This window comes from Homo sapiens, chromosome 17, assembly GCF_000001405.40.
Source record: "Homo sapiens chromosome 17, GRCh38.p14 Primary Assembly".
NCBI lineage: Eukaryota > Metazoa > Chordata > Mammalia > Primates > Hominidae > Homo > Homo sapiens.
Genome location: NC_000017.11, coordinates 41,237,999 through 41,248,056, shown reverse-complemented (window position 1 = coordinate 41,248,056; position 10,058 = coordinate 41,237,999). Strand labels below are relative to the sequence as shown.

Sequence of the window (10,058 nt, the reverse complement as noted above, 5' to 3'; positions counted from 1 at the left end):
ATTTTGAGGGACGCAAATGAACCCATAACACTGCAGAATCTCACAGTGTGTCCATGCCTAGTGATAACCACAAATGAGTAAAAACAACAATCACGGTGGACAATGGTATAGTAACCAGGGGCTCAGACCCTTCAGGAAGGATGCTCTGAGCTACTCTATCAGCAGTTATCTAGACCAACAAGAGTGCTGGCCAGGGGTGAAGGGAGAATAGAACTCTTGGTAATTAACGGAGTTTATGAAACTTAGGTGCACTGTATTATAGCAGAAGTAAGTGTAGATTATTTAATTGGCCTTCGTTTTATATCTCACTTCCTCTCCTTTCTTTTCCTTTCCTTCCTCTTTCTTCTTTCTTTCTTTCTTTCTTTTCTTTCTTTCTTTTCCTTCCTTCCTTCCTTTTTTCCTCCCTTCCTCCCTCCCTTCCCTTCCCTTCTCTCTCCCTTTCTCTCTCTTTCTTTCTTTCTCTTTCTTTCTTTCTTTTTATCTTTCTTTCTTTCTTTTTTCCTTCCTTCCTTCCTTCCCCTCCCTCAGTTCCTCCCCGCTCCCTCCTTTCCCTCCCTCCCTCCTTCCTGTCCTTCCTTCCTTCCTTCTTTCCTTCCTTCCTTCTCTCTGTCTTTCTGTTTTTCTTTCCTTCTTTTCTCTTTCCTTCTCCTCTCATCTTCTGTCCCTTCTCTTCCTCTGCTTCCTCTCTTCCTCTTCTTCCTTCTCCTAGAGGTTGTGGCTGCCCATCCTATTTAAGTAGCAAATATTTGACTTGAGTGGAGCTAATTGTAGATTGTAGACAAGTTTTCATGACTGCACCCATATATCTTGGATGTTACTGTGCTTGGATCAATTTCCATCTGTCAAAATCTGCATCTCTGTGCCTAAGGGCTCTTGTATTGCAGCTGTAGAAAGTCATGCCACCTGTGAATGCAACACAGAGAAAAACACTCAACCAATGATTCTGGAGAGCTGATTTATAAAGACTTTAGCTTCCTCATTCCTGAAGTAGGGTAATTCTAGCTGTGTGTTTTTCATCATTTCTGATAGTTTTCCCTTTAGTTTAAGCTTTAGTTGGTGACTGTGATACTGACTTAATAGTGTGCCTTCTTCTGTATCACTTCCCCAGTCCCTACCGGTGTGATCTGCACTTCTCAGTAAACTAGTTTCCCTGGAATATTTTCTTCAAAGTCTCTTCTGGGAGAAACTAATCTATGACAATACGTTAACTCTCTCAGCCTCAAATTTCTCATCTCTACAAGGGGAACATTAATACCTATTTTGAAAGTTTGTTAAATAGTTAATAATAATGTACACAAAGCATTTATCCAGTACCCATCATAGAGCAGGCAACACAGAATTAGTGTTTTTTGTTCAGAAAATTCCCAAGTTTTATGTTGAAGATAAGAATATTTTTGTAATAATTAAATAGATCAACTAAATACGTTTTTTTCTAGCTGTATTGAGGTATAATTGACAAACAAAAATTGTGTACATTTCAGGTATAGAAGGTGATGCTCTGATATATATATTGATTGTGAATAACATATTTATTAGGTCACTTAGTTACCATTTCCTTTTTATTTTTCTGGTGTGAACATTTAAGATCTACCTTCTCAGTAAATTTCAGGTATATGATAAAGTGTTTTTAACTATAGTCATATTACTGTACATTAGACCTACTGAACTTATTCATCTTTCATAACTGATGCTAGTCAAAGAGAATGTCCTAGTTTTCATCTCCTTTACTTCATCCCTGAACGATGATGACAGTAAGTGGCTGTTGTCTCTTAGCCAAGTCTTCAGAGCATTCTAGATTCACAGTCTCAGAAGTGGCATCTGTCATGGAAATCTACATTGTTAGCTCATCAGAGGTATTTCTACCACTCCCCTGCTTGTAGGAGGCCCCAAGAAGGTGACCTAGGTCCCCAATCTTTGTATTTCTCACAGATCCAGTATCAATCAACCTTCCGTGGGTGAATGCTTAGCTTGAATCAGTTCAGGACCCGAAGCAAAAACCTCTGTCTATCATGACTTCTGTTTCTTTTTTTTTTCTTTCTTTTTTTTTTTTTTTTACTTTAAGTTCTAGGGTACATGTGCACAATGTGCAGGTTTGTTACATATGTATACGTGCACCATAATGGTGTGCTGCACCCATTAACTCGTTATTTACATTAGATATATCTCCTAATGCTATCCCTCCCCACTCCCCTCACCCCATAATAGGCCCCGGTGTGTGATGTTCCCCTTCCTGCGTCCAACGGTTCTCATTGTTCAATTGCCACCTATGACTGAGAATGTGTGGTGTTTGGTTTTTTGTCCTTGCGATAGTTTGCTGAGAATGATGGTTTCCAGCTTCATCCATGTCCCTACAAAGGACATGAACTCATCCTTTTTTATGGCTGCATAGTATTCTGTGGTGTATATGTGTCACATTTTCTTAATCCCATCTATCATTGATGGACATTTGGGTTGGTTCCAAGTCTTTGCTATTGTGAATAGTGCTGCAATAAACATACGTGTGCATGTGTCTTTATAGCAGCATGATTTATAATCCTTTGGGTATATACCCAGTAATGGGATGGCTGGGTCAAATGGTATTTCTAGTTGTAGATCCTTGAGGAATCACCACACCGTCTTCCACAATGGTTAAACTAGTTTACAGTCCCACCAACAGTGTAAAAGTGTTCCTATTTCTCCACATCCTCTCCAGCACCTGTTGTTTCCTGACTTTTTAATGATAGCCATTCTAACTGGTGTGAGATGGTATCTCATTGTGGTTTTGATTTGCATTTCTCTGATGGCCAGTGATGATGAGCATTTTTTCATGTGTCTTTTGGCTGCATAAATGTCTTCTTTTGAGAAGTGTCTGTTTATATCCTTCATCCAGTTTTTGATGGGATGGTTTGTTTTTTTCTTGTAAATTTGTTTGAGTTCTTTGTAGATTCTGGATATTTGCCCTTTGTCAGATGAGTAGATTTCAAAAATTTTCTCCCATTCTGTAGGCTGCCTGTTCACTCTGATGGTAGTTTCTTTTGCTGTGCAGAAGTTCTTTAGTTTAATTAGATCCCATTTGTCAATTTTGGCTTTTATTGCCATTGCTTTTGGTGTTTTAGACATGAAGTCCTTGCCCATGCCTATGTCCTGAATGGTATTGCCTAGGTTTTCTTCTAGGGTTTTTATGGTTTTAGGTCTAACATTTAAGTCTTTAATCCATCTTAAATTAATTTTTGTATAAGGTGTAAGGAAGGGATCCAGTTTCAGCTTTCTACGTATGACTAGCCAGTTTTCCCAGCACCATTTATTAAATAGGGAATCCTTTCCCCATTTCTTGCTTTTGTCAGGTTTGTCAAAGATCAGATGGTTGTAGATGTGTGGTATTATTTCTGAGGGCTCTGTTCTGTTCCATTGGTCTATACCTCTGTTTTGGTACCAGTACCATGATGTTTTTGTTACTATAGCCTTTTAGTATAGTTTTAAGTTAGGTAGCATGATGACTCCAGCTTTGTTCTTTTGGCTTAGGAGTGTCTTGGCAATGCAGGCCCTTTTTTGGTTCCATATGAACTTTAAAGTAGTTTTTTCCAATTCTGTGAAGAAAGTCATTGGTAGCTTAATGGGAATGGCATTGAATCTATGAATTACCCTGGGCAGTATGGCCATTTTCATGATATTGATTCTTCCTATCCATGAGCATGGGATGTTCTTCCATTTGTTTGTGTCCTCTTTTATTTCATTGAGCAGAGGTTTGTAGTTCTCCTTGAAGAGGTCCTTCACGTCCCTTGTAAGTTGGATTCCTAGGTATTTTATTCTCTTTGAAGCAATTGTGAATGGGAGTTCCTTCATGATTTGGCTCTCTCTTTGTCTGTTATTGGTGTATAACAATGCTTGTGATTTTTGCACTTTGATTTTATATCCTGAGACTTTGCTGAAGTTGCTTATCAGCTTAAGGAGATTTTGGGCTGAGATGATGGGGTTTTCTAAATATACAATCATGTCACCTGCAAACAGGGACAATTTGACTTCCTCTTTTCCTAATTGAATACCATTTATTTCTTTCTCCTGCCTGATTGCCCTGGCCAGAACTTCCAACACTGTTGAATAGGAGTGGTGAGAGAGGGCATCCCTGTCTTGTGCCGGTTTTCAAAGGGAATGCTTCCAGTTTTTGCCCATTCAGTATGATATTGGCTGTGGGTTTGTCATAAATAGCTCTTATTATTTTGAGATCGTCCCATCAATACCTAATTTATTGAGAGTTTTTAGCATGAGGAGTTGTTGAATTTTGTCAAAGGCCTTTTCTGCATCTATTGAGATATCACGTGGTTTTGTCTTTGGTTCTGCTTATATGCTGGATTATGTTTATTGATTTGCATATGTTGAACCAGCCTTGCATCCCAGGGATGAAGCCCACTTTATCATGTTGGATCAGCTTTTTGATGTGCTGCTGAATTCAGTTTGCCAGTATTTTAATGAGGATTTTTGCATCAATGTTCATCAGGGATATTGGTCGAAAATTCTCTTTTTTTGTTGTGTCTCTGCCAGGCTTTGGTATCAGGATGATGCTGGCCTCATAAAATGAGTTAGGGAGGAGTCCCTCTTTTTCTATTGATTATAATAGTTTCAGAAGAAATGGTACCAGCTCCTCCTTGTACCTCTGGTAGAATTTGGCTGTGAATCCGTCTGCTCCTGGACTTTTTTTTTGGTTGGTAGGCTATTAATTATTGCCTCAATTTCAGAGCCTGTTATTGGTCTATTCAGGGATTCAGCTTCTTCCTGGTTTAGTCTTTATTCATTTCTTCAAGATTTTCTAGTTTATTTGCATAGAGGTGTTTATAGTATTCTCTGATGGTAGTCTGTATTTCTGTGGGATTGGTGGTGATATCCCATTTATCATTTTTTATTGCGTCTATTTGATTCTTCTCTCTTTTCTTCTTTATTAGTCTTGCTAACGGTCTATCAATTTTGTTGATCTTTTCAAAAAACCAGCGACTGGATTCATTGATTTTTTGAAGGGTTTTTCATGTCTCTATTTCCTTCAGTTCTGCTCTGATCTTAGTTATTTCTTGCCTTCTGCTAGCTTTTGAATGTGATTGCTCTTGCTTCTCTAGTTCTTTTAATTGTGATGTTAGGGTGTCAATTTTAGATCTTTCCTGCTTTGTCTTGTGGGCATTTAGTGCTATAAATTTCCCTCTACACACTGCTTTAAAGGTGTCCCAGAGATTCTGGTATGTTGTGTCTTTGTTCTCATTTGTTTCAAAGAATATCTTTATTTCTGCCTTCATTTTGTTATGTACCCAGTAGTCATTCAGGAGCAGGTTGTTCAGTTTTCATGTAACTGAGTGGTTTTGAGTGAGTTTCTAAATCCTCAGTTCTAGTTTGATTGCACCGTTGTCTGAGAGACAGTTTGTTATAATTTCTCTTCTCTTACATTTGCTGAGGAGTGCTTTACTTCCAACTATGTGGTCAATTTTGGAATAAGTGTGATGTGGTGCTGAGAAGAATGTATATTCTGTTGATTTGGGGTGGAGAGCTCTGTAGATGTCTATGAGGTCCGTTTGGCGTAGAGCTGAGTTCAATTTCTAGATATCCTTGTTAACTTCCTGTCTCGTTGATCTGTCTAATGTTGACAGTGGGGTGTTACATTCTCCCATTATTATTGTGTGGGAGTCTAAGTCTCTTTGTAGGTCTCTAAGGACTTGCTTTATGAATCTGGGTGCTCCTGTATTGGGTGCTTATATATTTAGGATAGTTAGCTATTCTTGTTGAGTTGATCCCTTTACCATTATGCAATGGCCTTCTTTGTCTCTTTTTATCTTTGTTGATTTAAAGTCAGTTTTATCACAGACTACAATTGCAAACCCTCCTTTTTTTTTTCCATTTGCTTGGTAGATCTTCCTCCATCCCTTTATTTTGAGCATATGTGTGTCTCTGTATGGGAGATGGGTCTCCTGAATACAGCACACTGATGGGTCTTGACTCTTTATCCAATTTGCCAGTCTGTGTCTTTCAACTGGAGCATTTAGCCCATTTACACTTAAGGTTAATATTGTTATGTGTGAATTTGATCCTGTCATTATGATGTTAGCTGGTTATTTTGCTCGTTAGTTGATGCAGTTTCTTCCTAGCATTGACAGCCTTTACAATTTGGCATGTTTTTGCAGTGGCTGGTACCAGTTGTTCCTTTCTATGTTTAGTGCTTCCTTCAGGAGCTCTTGTAAGGCAGGCCTGGTGGTGACAAAATCTCTCAGCATTTGCCTGTCTGTAAAGTATTTTATTTCTCCTTCACTTATGAAGCTTAGTTTGGCTGGATATGAAATTCTGGGTTGAAAATTCTTTTCTTTAAGAATGTTGAATATTGGCCCCCACTCTCTTCTGGCTTGTAGAGTTTCTGCCGAGAGATCTGCTGTTAGTCTGATGGGCTTCCCTTTGTGGGTAACCCGACGTTTCTCTCTGGCTGCCCTTAACATTTTTTCCTTCATTTCAACTTTGGTGAATCTGACAATTATGTGTCTTGGAGTTGCTCTTCTCGAGGAGTATCTTTGTGGTGTTCTCTGTATTTCCTGAATTTGAATATTCGCCTGTCTTGCTAGGTTGGGGAAGTTCTCCTCGATAATATCCTGCAGAGTGTTTTCCAACTCGGTTTCATTCTCCCCGTCACTTTCAGGTACACCAATCAGATGTAGATTTGGTCTTTTCAGATAGTCCCATATTTCTTGGAGGCTTTGTTCCTTTCTTTTTACTCTTTTTTCTCTAAACTTCTCTTCTCTCTTCATTTCATTCCTGTGATCTTCAATCACTGATACCCTTTCTTCCAGTTGATTGAATTTGCTACTGAAGCTTGTGCATTCGTCACGTAGTTCTCATGCCATGGTTTTCAGCTCCATCAGGTCATTTAAGGACTTCTCTACACTGGTTATTTTAGTTAGCCATTTGTCTAATCTTTTTTCAAGGTTTTTAGCTTCTTTGCAATGGGTTCGAACTTCCTCTTTTAGCTTGGAGAAGTTTGTTCATCTGAAGCCTTCTTCTCTCAACTCATCAAAGTCATTCTCCATCCAGCTTTGTTCCGTTGCTGGCAAGGAGCTGTGCTCCTCTGGAAGGTGAGAGGCACCTGATTTTTAGAATTTTCAGCTTTTCTGCTCTGTTTCTCCCCATCTTTGTGATTTTATCTACCTTTGGTCTTTGATGATGGTGACATACAGATGGGGTTTTGGTGTGGATGTCCTTTCTGTTTGTTAGTTTTCCTTCTAACAGTCAGGACCCTCAGCTGCAGGTCTGTTGGAGTTTGCTGAAGGTCCACTCCAGACCCTGTTTGCCTGGGTATCGGCAGCGGAGGCTGCAGAACAGCGAATATTGCTGAACAGTAAATGTTGCTGCCTGATCATTTCTCTGGAGCTTCATCTCAGAGGGGTATCTGGCCATGTGAGGTCTCAGACTGCCCCTACTGGAGGGTGTCTCCCAGTTAGGCTACTTGGGGGTCAGGGACCCACTTGAGGAGGCAGTCTGTCTGTTCTCAGATCTCAAACTGTGTGCTAGGAGAACCACTACTCTCTTCAAAGCTGTCAGACGGGACATTTAAGTCTGCAGAGGTTTCTGCTGCCTTTTGTTTGGCTATGCCCTGCCCCAGAGGTGGAGTCTACAGTGGCAGGCAGGCCTCCTTGAGCTGTGGTGGGCTCCACCCAGTTCGAGCTTCCTGGCCACTTTATCTACTCAAGCCTCAGCCATGGCAGGCGCCCCTCCCCCAGCCTCACTGCCACCTTGCAGTTCGATCTCAGACTGCTGTGCTAACAATGAGAGAGGCTCTGTGGGCGTGGGCTCTCTGAGCCAGGCACGGGACATAATCTCCTGGTGTGCCGTTTGTAAGACCATTGGAAAAGGGCAGTATTAGGGTGTGAGTGACCCAGTTTTCCAGGTGCCATCTGTCACAGCTTCCCCCGACTCCTTGCAATTCCTGGGTGAGGCAATGCCTCGCCCTGCTTTGGCTCATGCTCAGTGGGCTGCACCCACTGTCCTGCACCCACTGTCCAACAAGCCCCAGTGAGATGAACCCGGTACCTCAGTTGGAAATGCAGAAATCAACCATCTTCTGCGTCACTCATGCTGGGAGCTGTAGACTGGAGCTGTTCCCATTCAGCCACCTTGGAACTTCCCCCTATCATGACTTCTATGAATGCAGAAGTTCTACTTTGCTCCTTTCTTACATTATGTTGATTTCCCTGAAAACACAAGTTTTTCGTTTCTTTAGATGGTTCATATTATCCTCAAAAACTGCAGAAGGTTGTTTCATTCCCTTCCTTCTCATAGAGATAATGGATTGTGCCAAGTCTTACATGCCCATTGCACACTTTCTCAATTCCCAGCTTTGTTCTTACTTAATTTTCCTCATAACGTCTCAATTATGGGACAAATTTTCTTAATGTGGCATAAGGTACAGTCTGTGTTTTACAAGGAATAACTTAGTTTCATTTACTTCGTCAATAGGTGTTCAGGAGATGGAGGCCATATAACAATTTTATTTACATGATATCGAGAATAAGTTCCTTCAGATGAGACTCTCTCATGAGTCCACAATGAATTCTCAAGCATTTTTTGATGCAGATGAATTGAATGAATGACTGGTCAGAGGATGAGACAAAAAGAGATCCCTGCTTTCAGGGCAGCCATTAAATGCAGTCCCTGCTGCCATATCATGCAGCTGTTGCTCACTGAGGTGTGGGAAACTTATTTGGGAAAACTTTTTTGTGAACAAAAATGTTATCTGCAAATATAAGAGATCATTCCTCTCATTGTTAAATAAACTCAAGTGCATGTCTTGCTAGTGCTGACTTCCAATGTCATTTCTACTATGTTGAGAGTTAAATGTAAGTGTCCTTGGGCAGAAAGAGAGGACCTCAGCTTGGATCAGAATCTGTCCTTTATTAGCTACATAACATCACATATTAATTTTTTTTCAGGTGAAAAATGAAGGTAATAATGCATGACCACCTGTTTTGAGAATCAAATTGGATAATAACTATGGTATGTGATATGTGTGTAAATCCCATATCAGGAGTGCTTTCAAATAAAACAAAACACTATATGAGATGAGGATGGTTCAGAATTTATTCAGAAACATATAGGTAAGGATTTCTGCTACCAGGGACACAACACAAATTTATCATGAAAAGAAGAAAGAAGGATACAAGAACGATGAGGAGGATATTGAAAACAAAAAAAAGATTGCAAAGATCATCGATCAGTTGCAGAAACCTAAATTCCTTAGAAGCAGGGAATGAAGCTCTTGACTTTAGAGTCAAAGCTGAGACCATGACTCAAACTTGAGAACAGATGAAGCTGGCACATGATCCACAAGGTGTAAGGAAAAAGAGAATCAGGATGAAGTATTCTGCCCTCCCTCAAGCAGATTTCCAAGATTTTAAACATGTAGAGAATTCATAAAAATTTGGGTGAGAGCATGGTGGCTGTCAGCAGCAAATTAAATTAGTCCCCCAAAAGATGAGTCAGTTGAGCAGAAATTTGTTGTGTGAGGATGGTGGTTCTCTTGGAACGTGATCAGCAGCAAGAAGGCTGGCAGCAGCTGGACACACAGGTGGGCTGGAAGCAAGTGGTCCTGCAGCAGGTGGTCTCACAGCAGGCTGGGCGGCAGCAGGGCTGGCAGCAGTTGGAGCCACAGCTCTGGTTTAGGCAACCAGGCAGGCAGACAGTCGTGGGGTGGTAGCAGGTTCTTCTGCAGTACACAGGTGCACAGGAGCTGCTCTGACCACAGCTGGACCCACAGCTGGTTTGGCCACAGCAGGTGGGCTGACAGCAGGGTGTGCTGCAGCAGGAAGGCTGGCAGCAGCTGGTCACACAGATGGGCTGGCAGCAGGTGTTTTGACAGCAAGTTGGGCGGCAGCAAGGCTGGCAGCAGCTGGACACACAGCAGGAGGGCTGGCAGCAGGGTGTGCTGCTGCAGGTGGTCACAGTGGTGGGCTTCCAGCAGGTGGTCCTGCAGCACGTAGGCTGACAGCAAGGGGAACAACAGTGGGTCATGGTGTCAGGGGTAGAGGGTGGAGTTCTGTTCAGAGGTGAGTTTCCCAGAATCT

The 10,058-nt window shown here is 41.3% G+C and overlaps 1 protein-coding gene across 1 annotated transcript; it reads right to left on the bottom strand.

The window, feature by feature from the left end:
• Positions 1-9,052: 9,052 nt before the first annotated feature.
• On the bottom strand, positions 9,053-10,058 carry KRTAP9-8 (keratin associated protein 9-8). The gene has a single exon (NM_031963.3). It carries the CDS (start codon positions 10,003-10,005, stop codon positions 9,526-9,528), a length of 480 nt encoding a protein of 159 aa, NP_114169.2. The 5' UTR covers positions 10,006-10,058; the 3' UTR covers positions 9,053-9,525.